The following is a 19,630-nucleotide window of genomic DNA, read 5'->3' on the forward strand; positions in this document are numbered from 1 at the left end:
GCTGGGAGAGACTTGGGCCTCTTCTGTCTGCTATTTTTTTTTTTAATATTGCTAATCTCAGGCTATGGTCTGAGAATCAAACAGCAAACATTTTTGCACTTCTATTTTCTAATAAACTATCTGGATTCCTCCTAAAAGTTGGAACTGAGGTAGAGTTGACATCTAATTTCACAGCCATGTTGATACAAATGAAGCAAATCTTTACAATATTTCAATATGTATAATTCCAAGGCACAATGAGCAAGGTATAGGAGTATGTCCCCTGTGTCTAGCTGTTTCTCCAGGCTTCTCCAGAATGATGGATGAAAATGTAATTGGCAAGTCAAATGTCTACTGTGGAAGCCTACAGGAAAAGGGATGTGAAATGCTTGACGTGATGAGGGATGCAGAGTGTTCAGCACTTATTTACTGAGCAGCTCATCACCTGATTGTATAGTATACAATATATGAGAATTTATAGAACAGTGAACATGTAAACACATAGAACAAATAAACATATACAACATATAAACACTGTTTTTAACATTTATTACATACATAGAACATATAAGAATTTATAGAGCAATGAAAATACCACATTTTGACATTTGTATTGTACTGTGAAAGATTTATATGTATTTGTATAAAAAATAAATAAAGGTGATAATCTCTTGTGATTTCCCCAAAATACAGCATCCTTTTCATCTTTTTCCATTATGTAAATATGGTATGATAGAAATATAATATGCTGTGAAGTGATAGACATCATGACATATCAAAATGTATTATATATACACATATATATACATGTACATATTTATTGAAGTATAATTTATATACAAAATATACAAATTCCAAATATGAAATTCAGAGTTTTGACAAATGTCCACACCAATGTAACCATAGTCAATCAAGACATAGAACATTTCCATCACTCCAGAAACTTCCCTTGTGTTTCTCTGCAGTCAACTCCCATCCCACCTCAACCCAGGTAACTACTGATACAATTTCTACTGCTATATCTTAGTTTCGCTTGTTCTAGGACTTCAGAATGTACCCTATAGTGTCTAGATTTATTCATTCAACACAAGGTTTTTTAGATTCAGCCATGTTTGTTGCAGTTACCAGTAGTTTTGTCCATTTTATAGCTGAAGAGTATTTCATTATTAATACAACACAAATTGTTTGTCCATTTTCTTGTTGAAGGTCTTTTAGGCAGTTTACAGTTTGGGGATATTATAAGTAAAGATGCTATAAACGTTCTTGTGTAAGTCTTATAATGGGCATAAGTTTTCATTTCTTTTCAATCTAGGATTGGAATTGTTGGGTCATAGGTTTCATGTATGCTTAATTATATAAAACAATGTTAAACAATTTTTCCTAAGTGGTTGTAGCATTTTACATTCCAACAATAATGTATGAGAATTATAATTGCTCCATATTCTCAACAACACGTGGTACTGACAATATTTTTAATCATAACCATTTTAGTGGGAAGAATAACTCACTGTGGTTTTAATTTGCATTTCCTTAATGACAAAACGATATTGAACATTTTTGTGTGCTTTTTGTCCACTGGCCTAGCACTTTTCGTCATTTTTTCTTATATTCATTATTTTCATTTTATTTTTGCTAATTATTGAGTTGTTAAGAGTTCTTTATGAACTATATTCTGAAAAAAATTTACAGCATTCAAATAAAGTGTTGCAAATATTTTCTCCCAGTCTGTAGCTTGACTCTTATTCTCTTAACAATGTATTTTAAAAGGAGAGTTGTTAATCTTAAGGTCAAATTTATCAGATTTTTATTTTATATCTTGCTATTTGCTTTCTATTTGTCCCATTTGTTCTTTGTCCTCTTTCTCATCTTTTTTGTCTACTTTCAAGCATTTAAAAATTTATTCTATTTCATCGCTGCATTGTAATATTATTGTGTAATATTGTAATATTATCACTGTTTTTGTTACTCTAGCATTTGCTTTAGGGATTACACCATACAGATGTTTTAACTTAAAGATAACTTGTAATAGCCAACTTTTAATAGGCATTATACGACTTTACACACAGTCTAAGAACCTTACAAACTAAACTATATTTCCATTTACTCTAGGTTATTGTTGTCATATATTTTACTTTTACTCATGCTGCAGAACTCACATGACACTGCTATTATTTCTAAACAGCCAATTATCTTTAAAAGATATTTAAGTAATAAGGGCAGGTATTGTATATTTACTTATGGTGTTACTATTGCCAGTGCTCTTCATTTCTTTGTGTGGATCCATGTTTCTATCTGCACAAAGATATTATTCTTTATTTTCCTTCTTCCTGAAAGGCTTTTACACTGTTCTCATAGTCCAGGTTTGCTGATAATATATTACTTTTAACTTTTCTATGTCTGAAAAATATCTTTGTTTCATCCTTTCTTGAAAGACGGTTTTGCTGGGTATAGAAACCTAGGAGAGAGAGTTTTCTGCTTTTGGTTGGAAGATGTTTCACTGGAAGCATGAAAGATGTTGCTCCACTGCCCTTCCCCTTGCATTGCTTCCAAAAAGAAGTCTGGTATCATCCTTGTTTTTCTTCTCTGTGTAAGACTTGTCTTTTTCTCTTTACCACACTGAGTTTTGATCCATTTGCTTATGATGTGTTGTGATGTGGTTTTCTTAATAGCACCCCTACTTGGGGATGTTGAGCTGGGTCTGTGGGTTTATAGTTTGCATCAAATGTGGAAAATGCTTATGTATTAATTTTTAAAAATATTTTTTTCTATCCATCCACTCTCTTTTCTCCTTTGAGAACTCCAAATACACACAGATTAGGCAACTGAAGTTGTCCCACAGATCACCGATACTCTGATTATTCTTTGTTTTTTTTCTGTCTCTGTTTCATTTTGGATGCTTTCTACTGCTATATATATTCAAGTTTATTAATATTTTCTTCTGAAAACTCTCATCTGCCATTAATTACATCCATTGTATTTTTTAATCTTATACATTAACATTGTCATCTCTCGAAGTTTAATTAAAGCCTTTTCTTGTCACATCCTAATCTTTGAAAATACGGAATATAGTCATAATATTTTTCATTAGTAATTCTAACATCTGGGTATGTGCTGGGTCATTTTAGATTGATTTTTATCCTCATTATAGGTCCTATTTTTCTGCCTCTTCACACACTTGGTAATTTTTTATTGTATACCAGACATTGTGATTTTACCTCGTTGGGTGTTGGATTTTTTTTTGATGGAGTCTGGCTCTGTTGCCCAGGCTGGAGTGCAATGGCGCAATCTCGGCCCACTGCAAACTCTGCCTCCCGGGTTCATGCCATTCTCCTGCCCCAGCCTCCCGAGTAGCTGGGACTTCAGGCGCCCAACACCACGCCCGGCTAATTTTTGTATGTTTAGTAGAGACGGGGTTTCCACCTTGTTAGCAGGATGGTCTCCATCTCCCGACCTCGTGATCTGCCTGCCTCGACCTCCCAAAGTGCTGGGATTACAGGCATGAGCCACTGTGCCCGGCCTGGTGTTGGATAGTTTTATGTTACTGGAAATACATGTGAACTTTGCTCAGAGATGCCAATTAGTTATTGGAAACGGTTTGATCTTTTTTTCCAAATCTTTGAAGATTTGTTCAGTGGGGCCGCCATAGTAATACATGGTCTAGGACTTGCCAGGACTGAGGCAAGACCCCTATGAATATTCTACCTAATGCCCTATTAATTATGGGGATTTCTGGTATAGCCCATGGCAACCACCTCTATTCATGGTTGTATGTGAACATGCACTCTCAGTGAGAGTAATATTGTCCCCAAAACGACAGAAATTAGTTTTTTTGGGGGGGATGGGAGAAGTGAAGAGAAGAAAAATATTCTTTTTGTGTAAAGCCCAGATATACGTATAGTACTAAAGAGATATGCAGTGCATGTGCGATATTAAAATTTCAGGGCGGGCGCAGTGGCTTACGCCTGTGATACCAGCGCTTTAGGAGGCTGAGGTGGGCAGATCATGAGATCCAGAGATCGAGACCATCCTGGCTAACACGGTGAAACCTTGCCTCCACTAAAAATACAAAAAAAAAAAAAAAAAAAAAAATTAGCTGGGCATGTTGGCTTGTGCCTGTAGTCCCAGCTACTCGGGAGGCTGAGGCAGGAGAATGGCATGAACCCTGGAGGCGGAGCTTGCAGTGAGCCAGGATCGCGCCACTGCACTCCAGCCTGAGCGACAGAGCAAGACTCCGTCTCAAAAATAAAATAAAATTAAATTAAATTAAATAAAAATTAAAAAATTCATAGAGAGGTGACTAGAAAAGATGTTTAAAAAGATTCCTTGAGGTCAATAATAATTTTTTAAAGGTTGATAAATGCCGCTGTAATTCTTTTGAGTGTTTCTTTCCCTTGCCTCAGGTAGTTTCATGCACTTTGTTACACACTGAAGGGCGACCCTCTCCAGATTTGCAAAGTTTTCTCCAATGCAGCTCTTTCCTCGCCGGTACTCTATCCTGCAATCTCTAGCCACCTTCGTGTACCTGAACTCTCAGCAACAGCTACTCCATTCAGAGACTTGCTAGGCTTCCTTAAGCTATCTATCTCCATTGTCACTGCTGTCTCAAATTCTCTCAAGTTGTAAGCTGGGATACTCACAGCACACATCTTATGTTTCCTGTCTTTCAGGGATTACATTCCGTGCCTCATGTCCAGTGTACTGAAAACCATAGTTTCATATATTTTGTCTGGTTTGAGGTTGTTTCATGCAGGAGGGTTAGAGGGTAAATATGCTCCCTATTACTCCATCTTAGCCAGAAGTAAAATAAGAAAAAGAAATATATGTAAGTATAAACACACATACACATATATATATGTATGTATATAACACACATGAATCATATCCTAAAGATTTGGAACAAGAAGTAAATTTAGCTATCAATTATGTTTACTCACTGCAGATTAAGATGAACATTGTAGATTGGAGCATATTATGGGAGCAAGGCAACCTGTAGAATTGGTCAGGAACTAGACATCTCAGGACCTGCATTCTAACCCATTTTTGTCAGTAATTATCTGTGTAATGTTTTCTCAAAGCAGTGAAGGCCTTTGTGAATTTTGCAAAAATGGGGACAATTATATGTTTTACCTCATTGGCTTGCTTAAGGAGTTAAAATGTGATATGAGTCATACAAAGTGCTCATGCAGTCACAGAGGTTCTATTTTAAGGGCTTTCTTAAATTTTTAGGTACCATCACAAGCTAGCTAAGTTAGAAATTTTCATATCGCAAAATCTAAAAGTTCATCTTATGATTTTAAACATTTTTATTCACAGAGCAAATGCAACCATGTGAACCTCACATTTTAAAATATATAATGGCACAATAAAATGCAAAAATATAATTTTAGGTCATAACCTATAGGCAATAAACTATGTTATCATTTTGTAAAAAAAATACCACAGGAAGTAGTGCTTCAGTACATTTTCCCGACGATATGATTAATCCATAATAAATTCTGCTACTACTCCTAGTAATGGCAACTTTATGTAACCTTCTTAAGGTTACATTTGCACTTAAGTATACCAACTTAAACCGTGAGTGGCTGTTCTGACAACACATCAGCAATGAACTTAGCCTGAGCTACATCCATTGGGAGTGATGTGAAGGAAGAGAAAAGCGTTGGACTCTATGATATTTAATGTCTTTACCAATAGAAAAGCTCTGTAATTCTTAGAATTCAATTTTTTAATTAAAAAATTGGTTCTCTCTTTACACATAATTGCCAAAACAGTGTTTACAAATACTTTCATCTTGCCCCAGATTGGCCAATGAGGTAGTAGGTTAAACAGCCAATTCATCATGTTTTGATTTAAAATGTGTCCATATCATTCTTCCCCAAATTCAAGTATATTTTAATAATCCATTTCTGTTACTTATATTATGGATTCAAGAATAAACTAAGCAAATGGATCATTTGTTTGCCTTCCAGTTATACATGAAGAAATTAATGTTTTATTAAAGAAAAAAGCCATCAAAATCAATTTTCCATCTGCACTCTTTTATTTGTTGCAATACTGTTTATAACAGCTAAGATTTGGAAACACCCTAAGTGTTCATCAACAGATGAATGAAGAAAATGTGGTTCACATACAAAATGGAGTACTCTTCAGCCATAAAAGAGAATGAGATCCTGTCACTTGCGACAGCATGGATGGAACTGGAGGTCATTATGTTAAGTGAAATAGGCCAGGCATAGAAAGACAAACATTGCCATGTTCTCATTTATTTGTGGGATCTAAAAATCAAAACAACGGAATTCATGGATATAGAGTAGAAGGATGGTTAGTAAAGGCTGAAAAAAGTAGTAGACAGCTGAGATAATGGTGGGGCAGAGGTGGGGATAGGTTAATGGGTACAAAAAAAGTAGAAAGAATGAGTAAAACTTACTATATGATAGCACAATAGGGTGACTATAGTCAATAAAAACTTAACTGCATATTTTAAAATACAGAGTGTAATCAGGTTGTTTGTAACACAAAGGATAAATGTTGAGGGGATGGATACCCCATTCTCCATGATGTGCTTATTTCACAGTGCATGCCTGTATCAAAACATTTCATGTACTCCATAAATATATACACCTAGTATGTACACAAAAATTAAAAAATAAAAAAGATTTCCCATCAAATATTCTTTCAGAGAAGATGTGAACAAAGATCCAGAATTATTGGTCAGTCTAGGCAAACAGTATCAAACAGCCTAATATGATTTTCTCCTCTGCTAAATAATACTGGGAAGGCAGGAAGGTGGGCTTCTCTATGGATTGAAGTTAAGAGAGAGAAGTGCCAGGAGTTCAGTCCACGCATGACAACTTACTAGTACTGCCTACTTGAAGAGATTAGCTCTTACAACCTTATCTTTGTCTCATCTATAAAACTGAGGGAGCAGGTTAAAAAAATCTTACATGTTAATACATGACTTATCCTACTCCATGTCTCTATTACAATGAAAGATCATACACAGTCTGGAAGAAAATGTTAAATTTACTGTGACTTTTCACAGTAATAGAGACAGAGTAATAGAGACACGGGGTAGAATATGTCACGTATCAGTAGTAACTACTATCAAAGTATGTTAAGTTTATGCCGTAATAATGACTTTTAGTAAACAATGAAGATTTACAGTGATTTCCTAAGGTGAATTTGGACAAAAATATTGAGATAATACCACTCACCAGTGTCACTATTTTACAGAGATAAGCCTTCAATGTCACATGAACCACTCTATTTTTAATATTAGAATTCTGAAGTTTTTAAGCATCAGAATCTTCAGCTTTCTCAAATGAAGAATGGTAATTATATGCTATTTTCTTTTTTAATTTGAAGAAAAAAGTTGGGAAATTATTATGCTTTTACTTTTATGTTACAAAAGGGTGTTACTTGCAACTAGCATCTATGTATCTAAATAACGTTTAGTGACTTAATTCTCTGCAACAGTAAAAAGTACTCAATTTAGATTTTAGTAAGTTGACTGTTAGATGGTTGCTCTTTGGCAGAAGTTTAAATATATATATTCATAGATATTTTTACATCTAGCAATCAGTAAATATTTATCTCTTTTTCTTGCACTTTGCATTTAATAATTTAAAAGGAAAAATTTAACAGATGATAAATATCAAACCAAAAAAGTCAACAAATCTTAATAATCTCAAAATATACAAGGGCAAAGTGATACATAAACCAATACAGAATACATTTGTCTGCACATTTTTGCATAAATTTTAAAAAGCATATAATTCTGTAATTTTAATTTTATAGAGCTTTCCCTAAAATATTTTTTATTTTATTTAAAAATGAGTTTATTTTCAAATAAGAAGATTAAGTCTAAAAATCAGTGCAAAAGATTGATGGTGATGATGTATCAATGCAATTTGATGCATCCGTTTCGCTGTCTTGCAAAAGGTGCAGTGACCAATGGGCTGTCTGTACTCTCAATACAGATGTAGTATTCTGAGAAGAGATCATTTGTTAAGAGCGGATTTAAGACAGAGAGTGTATTCATTCTTTCAAAAATAACACATACGAATTTCCATAACAAGATGGAAATTCATTTACGTAACAGTAACGCTGAATCAATATATTTTCAGCTTGCCCTGATGTGGAAGAAATATACCATCTCATTAGTCCTTGGTAGGCAGTTGGTATCTGGAATATGAAGAGTGTAGCATCATTGCTTTTATGTAATTGGTTTATTGAATCCAAATGGTGGTTCCATGCATTATCAAATAACCACTGCTTCAATACTAGTCCCTGGAACTGTCTCCATAAAGTTAATTCCAATCCTTTGCTGTCTTAGTGTGTATGTAAACCTTAATGAGACATGTTCCAGTTAACTGCACATATTCAATTTTGGGTAATCTATGGGAATTTGGCCCCATGGTCATAAACCTGTGATCAGACTGGCAGATTTAATAAACATCATGTAAATGCTAACTTAACTTGGAGTGAACAGTCTTCAGTTTACATTCCAAAAGTGATTAGATGAAAGGATAATACACAATGATATTTATGCCTAGAGCAGTTCAAAATTTAGAAAAGGAATTAGTGATCTTCAGTTAAGCTATTTTTTTAATAAATTGAAAAGATGTTCTGTACAACATAATAGAGTCATAGGAAATCAAAAGCATATCAGTAACAACTTTTAGAAAAAGAAATGAATGATAAAGAAAAACAGATATGACCTCTCAATATCTTGGGGAAGTAAGTTAGGATGATGTTTCATTCACGTCTTAATGATATAAATAAAGGATAACTCTGTGTAAGAAGTATTGTTTGTATCTGGTGGTAAATTTAGTTAAAAACATAATCACAAGTTACAAAAACTGTAATTACAAATTACAAAGAAAAACAGGCAGACAATCTTGTATTGACATCCTCTTGCATCTTGTTACCTACCAATGTTCTGTTCCATTATAAAATTCAATACTAAAATTTCATAGCTAACATTCAATATTAATTTCAACATTAAAATGTATCAAAATCATTAAAAACAGTCAATTAGAAAAAGCAATACACCAAAAATAATGGTAGTGTTTCCAGGCTTCAACTGTGTTGTATTAACCATCACACAGGAGAATAAAAGGGCTGTGAATTTTAGATAGGCCACTTGGCTCTGGATTCCAGGACTATGGAAATGCCAGTGAAGGTAGTCCAAGAAGCATTTCTTGTTTTATAAATATCAGCAGAGGACCAAAAAAAGGGATCCCAGATATGTTTTCAAGTAACAAAAAACATTAAAGTGCAATTTTGTCTTTTACATCTGAACAAAAGTTCTGTCATTTTTAAAAAATAAAGTAGGGCCACAGCTTTATAGCCATTTTCTCATCTAAAACCCCACAATTATTAACACAGATCAAACTGCAGTTTTGGAAGAGAGCCTTTGGACGGGGAAACTACTGAACAGTGATGAATGGCCATACCTAATTCATTGTTTGGAAATTGATGTGGAGGACTGTGTTTCACCGAGGGAGAAAGGGACCTCCCAGAGGCTCCGAGGCTGCAGGTCTTCAGCCAGGTGACAGCACTGCACCTGCTTGTGTGCACCCTGATGGCAACAGCAGGGAAGTCCACAGTCACGATGATAGAGACAGCCACAGCTGCCAATCAGAAGACTCGCTCTTTCTGGTTTTCATGGACTGCGTTTTGCACATCGAGCTCACTGTTTAGAGCTGTCCTAGCACTCTTCTTTTTTTGAGACTTTTGACTCATTTTCTTTGCGTAACTTTCTCTGTTGATAGATGCGTATGGCTATGGCAGTGATGCAAAGCAAAATAAATATCACCACTGCTATCACACCTAGGGAGAGAAAAGAATAAAACATCATAATTTTTTTTCTTTTTTCTTTTTAGAGAGAGGGTCTCACTCTGTCGCCCACGCTGGAGTGCAGTGGCATGATCACAGCTAACTGTAGCCTTGATCCTCCCAAGTAGCTGAGACTATAGGCCCACTCCACCGTTCAGCTTATTTTTTTTTTTCTTTTTACAATTATTCTTTGTAGAGATGGGGTGTTGCTGTGTTGCCCAGGCTGGTCTCGAACTCCTGGGCTAAAGTGATCCTCTCACCTTGGTCTCCCAAATTGTTGGGATTACAGGTGTGAGTTACCGTGCCTGGCCTCAATGTCAGAGTATAAATGGTGACTTTTGGTCCAATCAGAGGCTTTGCAGACATCATTGCTTTTTAAGTTTGGTTAAAATAAACCAAACACCTATTATATTATAAATTGAAAACACCAAAACTCAGAAATGCTGAGGTCAAGTAATTTTATAACATTTAACATACTTCTGACGGACTATGACTTTTGGATATGGCTGTGTTAGGCTTTTTCCCTACAGGTATATGATGATTGGGTTTTAGATAATGCTTTCAGATTTAAAAGAATAGAGACATACATGTCTCTAAGACCGCGTACATCCTTCAGTTAACAAGTGGGAAATGTTAAATCATTTTACAAGTATAGAGTGTTTGCATCATCATAGATCATTACATGTTATTGTTAGTACAATGAAATGGATACATTTTAATGAAATTGTTTTCAAATACTTTTATGATAATACACTTTTCTTTTTTTTCTGAGACGGAGTCTTGCTCTGTCGCCCAGTCTGGAGTGCAGTGGCGCGATCTCGGCTCACTGCAAGCTCCGCCTCCCAGGTTCACGCCATTCTCCTGCCTCAGGCTCCTGAGTAGCTGGGACTACAGGCACCCGCCACCGCGCCCGGCTAACTTTTTGCATTTTTAGTAGAGACGGGGTTTCACCGTGTTAGCTAGGATGGTCTCGATCTCCTGACCTCATGATCCGTCCGCCTCGGCCTCCCAAAGTGCTGGGATTACAGGCGTGAGCCACCGCGCCCGGCCGATAATATACTTCTCAAACGCAGTAGTGTCTTATATATGTAATCAATCCCTATTACCAAAAATATTGCAGGCATATTTATTCATTTTTTTTTTACCTGGAATGTGGATTATTTGAAAGACCTGGGCAAAATGTTTTAAAATATTGAAACCATTAGCAGTGTCCATGATTCTCGACTCTAGCTGCACACTAAGTCAGTAAATCAGAATAAATGAATGGAAGGCCTGGATACCAGTATCTTTATAAATTGTTTCAGGCTTTAATTCAGAGCCAGAGTGCTAAAGCATGAAGCCATGCCACAGAATGCTGTGTACTGAAGCAATCATATTAGTGACAAATGAAAGTAAAATCTACCCTAAAAGAAATAAATGTGTATAAAGACAAGCTTCTGAAGGTAATCAGAATATGTCACCCCCAAATATGCCTTTTTGACAAATATTTTGAAGTAAAGGCAATTAAGAAGCAGCCAATGGAGGAAGAGCTCTCTAGATCCTCCCCTCTTTTCATCTAAAGACAGGATGTAAATTCTCTTTTACCGGAGACCATTCTTACCAGCTCAGGGATGTCAGCAGAAGAATGTACAAACACACGTATTCCACTAGTTTCTTCCCATATATTTATCTTCCCACGGTTTCTTGCCTTCGGACACCTAAAATTGCTTTCCATTGTCCTGTCATTTCTCCACAAATGTATTGTTGAAGATGAGCCAGACTTCTAAGCCACTGCGCTTTGAGTTTCACTGAGGTTTCTCCCACGTGCTGTGGGCTGCATGCCTTAGTAAACTTGCTTGTTTTTCTCTTGTTAATCAGAGGTCTGTCCCAACTACAAAGTTAGGAATGATGAGGAGAAATTATATTTCCTCCCCCACGCTTTTACTGCCTACATCGTACATTTAAAGTACTTCACACAAATATTAATTTATATCTTCAGCCAGTCCCTATTAGAAAATGCAAACTGCCTCTGGGAAAGCCCAGGGGAAGCCTTCCACAGACTCCTTTTCATCCCCTCGTTCAGGCTAAGAATTTCTCAGCGGAAGAGAACACTGCTAAGATGTTTCCTTACGTTTACTCCGTCAATCTTGCCAGTGATATTTGACCACCAGCAATATAATACAATTCCAAAGATAAGAGCTGGTTCTATGATCAACTTGCCCATTTCCTTCTCACCAAAAGCTGGGTACTAACCCTGACATTGTGTAAACGTCTGTAGGACTTGGAAACCTAGCGTGAAAATGTTCGGCATGTTGAAATTGCTTTTGCATTGCAATGAAAAAAATCTCCTAAAAAGGCATGATTGATTTAGGATTGGATTTGATTTAAAATTGAACACGAAAGTACACCTTTTAGATATGCATTATTGACCACATTCCCACTGGAAACTGTTTAAAACAGTTTTTGTTCATCAGGTCATGTATTTTTAATTTACACCTTACTGATTTCTAAGAGAAAAAGAATTGAGATAGTGATGGAAATGTGAATATCCTCAACTGAAATTTAGTCAGAACTTTATTATGTCGAAATTGTTTTCTGTCATTTTGAAGGAAACAAACACAACTAGTTTACTCTTGTATGTGCTATGGAGAGTCTGCAGAATAAGAATACAATTAAGATTTCAATAACTCGGCCGGGCATGGTGGCTCATGCCTGTAATCCTAGCACTTTGGGAGGCCAAGGTAGGTGGATCATGAGGTCAGGAGATCGAGACCATTCTGGCTAACACGGTGAAACCCCGTCTCTACTAAAAATATAAAAAATTAGCCGTGCGTGGTGGTGGGCACCTGTATCCCCAGCTACTTGGGCTGCTGAGGCAGGAGAATGGGAGGCGGAGCTTGCAGTGAGCCAAGATGGCGCCACTGCACTCCAGCCTTTGCGACGAGCGAGACTCCCTCTCAAACAAACAAAGATTTCAATAATTCACTCATTAATTAACAAGGAAAGGTGAATGCTTATTTTTTGCACCAGCTCTAAATAAATTATATTTTAGAAAAAAAGTTTTCATTGCCAAAACATATTTTTAAGCTATGCTTAACTTCACTTTTCTTCAATTAAAAATAACCAGAAAACATTCTTAGCCTATGAGATTAGTTCTTTCCAAAGTATGATTAAAAGTGAAACATACAATGGCTACTGCTGCACAACATTGTAAATGTCCTTAATGACAGGGAATTATACACTTTAAAATAACAACACATTTTAAATAATGTGTGCCTTTAAAACTTCTTAAATAATCACGCCTGTAATCCCAGCACTTTGGGAGGCCGAGGCGGGTGGATCACGAGGTCAGGAGATCGAGACCATCCTGGCTAACAGGGTGAAACCCCGCCTCTACTAAAAATACAAAAAATAGCCAGGCGTGGTGGCGGGCGCCTGTAGTTTCAGCTACTCAGGAGGCTGCGGCAGGAGAATGGCGTGAACCCGGGAGGCGGAGCTTGCAGTAAGTCGAGATTGCTTCACTGCACTCCAGCCTGGGCGACACAGCGAGACTCTGTCTCAAAAAACAAACAAACAAACAAACAAACAAACAAACAAAAAACTTCTTAAATAAGTGAAACACTGTCATGGGAGTATCTAAATCATACTATTTGTCATTGAAGAAAAGTACCATAAAGTGTATGCTCTGATAATTAGCTGAGGTTTCCATTGCTTTGAACATAATTACTTCAGGTCCGTCCAACAGTTGTCATTACCGTGACAAATATCCCACATGTCCTAGGGAATACAGCTATTTTCAAATTAATAACTTTTCAGTATTAGCTTTGTAACTGTTCTTCAAAAAAAATTGTTTCGGCAGAATTCTTACATGCTGAGAACCCCCAGGGAAGCTGAAATCAGCAAATATTGCCTTAGAAAATCAACGAAGGCCGGGCATGGTGGCTCACGCCTGTGATCTCAGCACTTTGGGAGGCTGAGGCGGGCAGATCACTTGAGGCCAGGAGTTCGAAACCAGCACGGCCAATACGGAGAAACCCTGTGTCTACCAAAAACACAACAAATTAGCCAGGCATAGTGGCACACTCTTATAACCCTAACTATTCAGGAGGCTGAGGCAGGAGAATCGCTTGAACCCGGGAGGCAGAGGTTGCAGTGAGTGGAGATCTCACCACTGCACTCCAGCCTGGGTGACAGCGTGAGGCTCTTGTCTCAAATAGAAAAAAAACAAAGAACAAAAAACAAAAAACCACCACCAACCGCAATACATAGCACCCCTCTGACCTCACCATTGAGTATTGATTCTTACATATATTTCCCATTGTGCTAAGTAATGGTATCATTATCTAAAGCGATAATGACAAGCACCAGGTCATTCAGGGCCTTGTTACCTCCGATGACAGCAGAGTCTCTTCTGTCTGCATTAACCAAGGGCTCTCCCTCATCCGCTGGTCCAGAACGACCTACAACAGGGAAAGGGAGAATGATGTTTATTAGCTTGATTTAATCACGCCACAATTTACACATAGCAAACTTGTCAATTAAAAGTGAATTAAAATAAGAACATCACAAAAATGTATTTTAAAAAAGGAAAAAAAGAAGGATGACAGAGACGGAGAAAAGAAGGCTTTTGAGAAATTCACAAACATTTGAGAGAAGCGCAGTTTCAGGTGCGCAGGGGTGGAGGGCCACACACCTGCGCCCCCCGCGAGTCGGGGAGCCAGTTCCCGCGCCGGGGAGCCGGACGCCGCCCCCGCTGCGCAGCGGGCCATAGGGGCCACGTGGCCGCGGACGGTGACCCGGGAGGGGCCGCTGGGGCGCAGCGCCGCCTTCAGGGGAGCAGCGCGGCCGAAGCGCACCGCCGAGAGGCAGCCAGTGAAGCCACTAGTCGCCGCCCGCCTTGTGTCCGGGTCCGCGCCGGCAGCCTCTGAGGACAGAAGGGGAACACACAGTTAGGGCGCAGCGGCGGAGATGGGGGCGCAGGCACACCCCGCATCTGCAAGACAGCGACCCTCGTTCCTTCACTCCAGGAGAGGTCCCTCCGAACCCCTCGTTCCTTCACTCCAGGAGAGGTCACCGTGAATCTTTACCTGTCTGGCAACTATTTCCATTGTCAGGGTTATGAAAGGCAGGTTTTTAACAGATTCGTTCAAGTGCAGATGGCTGGCTCTCTGCAAGTAACAGAGCTTCATAGGAAAGCGGTTACATGGCATAAATTTAAGAAATCCTCTGCCATTTAATTTTTAAAATATAGCATTAAAATAAAATTTTAATGGCGCTCACAGCCAATAATCCGGAGGATTACAGAAAAGCGACTCTTGGAGATGAGGGCAGAGCTCTGGAAATCCTTCATACTATAGTTGCTATTTTGTATGATGACTTTCATATTATCTTAATAAACTGTATCTTTTGTCATCAGATAATATCCCTCTTTATCTCATTTAAGATTCGATTATATTCCAATCTTAAATTCAATCTTATCTGAAAGTAGTGCTGCATTTCTTAAATTTATCAGCTGTTGCCTGCTAGTTCTTGGCATGCCCCTTCATTTTCAATATTGTAAGAGCATTTAACTGTTAATTTTAAAGCTAGTTTGACAGAATTTAGTCCATTTGTCTTTAGAGTAATAACCACTATATCTGATTTTATTTTTTATCTTACACTATTTATTTCACATTATTTCTTTTTTTCCTTTTATTTTGCTGGTTTAATCAGTTTCCTTCTTATTTCCTGCTTTCCCTTTTGTGAGTTTGAGAGCTCAACTTCCCTAGCCCTCACAATCAAAATCATGCCTTCACACTGTTATATGAAAACAAGATCCTCTTTTTCCAACTTTCCCCCATTCCCAACAGTGAGATGAGCGATTGCATGGTTCTTTCTCCCCACCCTCCCTCCCACACCACCGCGGGGTTCCCCACAACAGTTCTTCCCTAAATGAGAGGCTTGGGAAATTTTTCTTTTTCTTCTCTCACTTTTCCCTTTTTACTCTTCTTTGGTTTTACTCTAGTACATTTAGATCCTGACCAGAATGACAATTTCTCTTACATTTCTATTTTTCTATGATGTTTCCAGTTCAAGGATCTTTACATAATTTATTTTTTCCAAGAAAGAACTTTGACATGATGGACAAAGATTCTCCCTATGACCAGATGTTGGTCAGGCTACTCTAAGCTCTCTGCTCAACCAGCCTGACCTTTGGTCTTTCATCGTCCAGCTTAGCAAGAATCCTGCCAATTTGGTTTTAACCCAAATCTCCCACCCTCAATATCTGATCACTCTCAATATCTAATCACCTTTCTCATCCCTCTCACCACCCCGCAGGTGATGTCTGACAACACTGGCCTGGCATCACCAGGAAACCTGGTGAGTCAGTTTAGCAAGAATTACTCTCCCATTTTGTAGTTTTCCACTCAGACACCCCACCCCAGCCACTCTGCTCCTTGGCTACGAATCCACACTTCTCCTTGTTGTATTTGAAGTTGAGCTCAGTCTCTTTCCCCAACTGCAAAGCTCCATTCCAGTAATTCCTATACCTATTGCCATAGTCCTGAATAAAGTCTGCCACACGATCTTAACAAGAGTATTTTTATCTTTTGACATGATACAAGATGGTTTTACATTAAATAATTGTAGTTTAGAGAAGAATCACATAATTTTAGGGCAGACCTTTTTTTTTTTTTTTTTTTTGAGATGGAGTCTCACTCTGTCCCCAGGCTGGAGTGCAGTGGCGCGATCTCGGCTCACTGCAACCTCCGCCTCCCAGGTACAAGCGATTCTCCTGCCTCAGCCTCCCAAGTAGTTGGGACTACAGGCATGCACCACCACACCCAGCTAATTTTTTTTGTGTATTTTTAGTAGAGACGGGATTTCACCATTTTGGCCAGGACGGTCTCGATCTCTTGACCTTGTGATCTGCCCACCTCGGCCTCCCAAAGTGTCAGGATTACAGGCATGAGCCACTGCGCCCGGCCAGACTTCTCTTTAAAACCCTGAATAAAAACCTTGAGCAATTGTTTAATTTGGAGCTGATGAAACAGAGAACTTTCTTACATCTTTAATAAATGACTTAATTAGAAAATGATCACCATATATACTTTGTTTAAGCTGGAAAATCTGAAAGAAAGGCATTCCTTTGCCCACTCTGAAGTGTACCTGGCAATCACACCACAATCCAGGAAGAAACTCGTGATTCTGTACTCCCAGATTTTAGCCAGCACTACTATTTATTGTTTATCAGTTAACCAATATTCAGTAGAACTCAACTCTTAACTGTGGTGACATGTAGATACAGTTTCCTGTCTATTACCTTGACATGGCAACATGGTCAAAACCCTTCACTTTTGCTTCTCTTAGCTGAATAGCTCTAATCAAAAATGTATGGTGACCTGTCTGCCTCCCTTTCTGGGCTTTCTCAACTTCGGGGTCCTGCACCCAGCCCCCTTCCAATTCTCTATTCTGTTCCATCAAAGCCTGCTCCCGAGTAAATTCACGTTTGCACAAATTCCTGGTCATGGCTTTTGATAACACTTTCAGGGGCATATGTATTTTGGCAGAAGAGTCAAAAGAATGGATCTCTAATACAGAATTTGAAATACTGGCACTTGACGTTGTGGGAAAAAAAATATTTGAGATAGGGTTGTCTTCCCAGCCCACTGAAGTCATGCCAAATAGACAGATGTCTATCCTTACAAAAGGGTGCCACTTGGTTGAACTAAAGGAAAAAACGACTAGATAAGTGGACAGTCTTCTACACTGTGCAATACGGTAGACACTAGCCACATGTGACCATTGAGATTCAAATCAGGCCAGGCACGGTGGCTCATGCCTGTAATCCCAGCACTTTGGGAGGCCGAGGTGGGCGGATGATGAGGTCAGGAGATCAAGACCATCCTGGCTAACACGGTGAAACCCCATCTCTACTAAAAATACAAAAAAAAAAAAAAATTAGCCGGGCATGGTGGTGGGTGCCTGTAGTCTCAGCTACTTGGGAGGCTGAGGCAGGAGAATGGCGTGAACCCGGGAGGCAGAGCTTGCAGTGAGCCGAGTTCACGCCACTGTACTCCAGCCTGGATGACAGAGTGAAACTCGATCTCAAAAAAAAAAAACAAAGAAACTCAAATCAATTAAAATTAAATAAAATGTAAAATTTAGTCCCTCAGTTATACTAGCCACATTTCTAGTGCTTAAAAACTCATTTATCTCAAGTGAGTCTGGGGACTACCACATAGGACAGCACAGACTTTACACGTTTTCATCATCACAGAAAGTTCTATTGGACAGCATTAGTTTTGTTGACTTATACTTTCAAAGATCTCAAGACATCTGTGATGCCCACTGAATCCTGGTTAATGGACCAAGTTAGAACAATCTTAGAATTTTCTATCGAAGAGAATCTTGATGATAACTTAGTGCAGCCTCCTCATTTTACCAATAAAGGACTAATTGATATAATCATTGCTCTTTCTTGGAAAAAAAAACCCACAAAATCTCCTATCTTCTTGACTTTTTATAGGGTTTTTAGGTGTTTTCATTCTGTAATGTTGAAAGAGGCAATCCACCATTGGCTCTGAGTGTCTCCTCATGCTTTGCTGGGTTTGCCAAGAAGTGCAAGATGCTGACAGCACTTTACTCAGGCCACTTCTCAAGGCTATAATTGAAGCAAGCAACATTGAGGGATAAGGTCATGACCCCCTCCAGGACAAAGAACAGACTTGCTTAGTGCTTGTTACAAAATCGGTGGATTCCCCAAACTCAGTGTTCCTCTGCTGCAGTGGAAACCTGGCCACAGGTGCAGCCTTCATCTGCACCCATCACTGCCCCGTAAGGCTTCAGGGCCAAGGGAAAACAATGCAAATGAACTGCTGCTCACGAGGCTTGCTGTGCCATGAGTAGTAGGGTCCTTTGTCTCTGTACCAGGACAGCATCCACAAAACAGTTAAAAGCTGTTAACTTCCTAGCTCGTAAATCAGGTAAAATCAAATCCCAGACCCAACATAAAACATTTCTTCTAAATGAGACAAACACCATAGCACAGAAGTAATATAAAATACATAGGTTGATGAATTTTAAAATGTTAAAACTGTATGTCTTATGTGACATCTCCTTACAAAACTCAAAAGGCAATTTCCAGAAATATTTAATTACCAAAACTATTTGGCATTCTTACATATCTAGAGCTCTATTTGAAATATAGTCCTTCAGTGGGTTTTCTTTTCTTCAGCCTAGAATGTATACCTCCTAAGGTATATAAGCTCAGCTGTATTCATATGCAACTGTTTACAGGCTAATTTTTTTTTACTTTTTGGGAGCAGACAAAAAGGCATCTTCCATTTTTGCACTCTGTTTTTTTGATATATATATGTAATTTTTAAGATAGTGTTTAAGGGGCCAGGTGTGGTGGCTCACACCTGTAATCCCAGCACTTTGGGAGACTGAGGCGGGTGGATCACAAGGTCAGGAATTCGAGACCAGCCTGACCAACATGATGAAACCCCGTCTCTACTAAAACTACAAAAATTAGCCAGGCGTGGTGGTACATGCCTGTAATCCCAGCTACTCAGGAAGCTGAGGCAGGAGAATCGTGTGAACCTGGGAGGCGGAGGTTGCAGTGAGCCGAGATTGCGCCACTGCACTCCAGCCTGGGCGACAGAGTGATACTCATCTCAAAAGTGTTTAAATACATGTGCACATGTACACACACAAAGCAAAACAGAAAGAATACAATAATACCAAAGTATCTAAAAACAAATCTTAATTTATGATGGATCATCTTTACTGAATTATAAAGTATTTTAGGTGTCTGCATTCTTTAAAGCTACCTCTTGGATAAAATTCA

The 19,630-nt window shown here is 38.4% G+C and overlaps 1 protein-coding gene across 2 annotated transcripts in view; it reads right to left on the reverse strand.

The window, feature by feature from the left end:
• Window positions 1-511: 511 nt before the first annotated feature.
• CNTNAP3 (contactin associated protein family member 3) overlaps window positions 512-19,630 on the reverse strand; it is a 223,458-nt gene continuing 204,339 nt past the window's right edge. For both annotated transcript variants that reach the window (NM_001393379.1, NM_033655.5), the window contains 3 exons: window positions 14,492-14,722; window positions 14,187-14,258; window positions 512-9,813 (listed from right to left, as the gene is read on the reverse strand). In NM_001393379.1, coding sequence (NP_001380308.1) covers window positions 9,692-9,813; window positions 14,187-14,258; window positions 14,492-14,722 — 425 coding nt within the window. In that variant the 3' untranslated portion in view covers window positions 512-9,691. The remainder of the gene's footprint in view (window positions 9,814-14,186; window positions 14,259-14,491; window positions 14,723-19,630) is intronic.

Source organism: Homo sapiens, chromosome 9, assembly GCF_000001405.40.
Source record: "Homo sapiens chromosome 9, GRCh38.p14 Primary Assembly".
In the NCBI taxonomy this organism is placed as follows: Eukaryota; Metazoa; Chordata; class Mammalia; order Primates; family Hominidae; genus Homo; species Homo sapiens.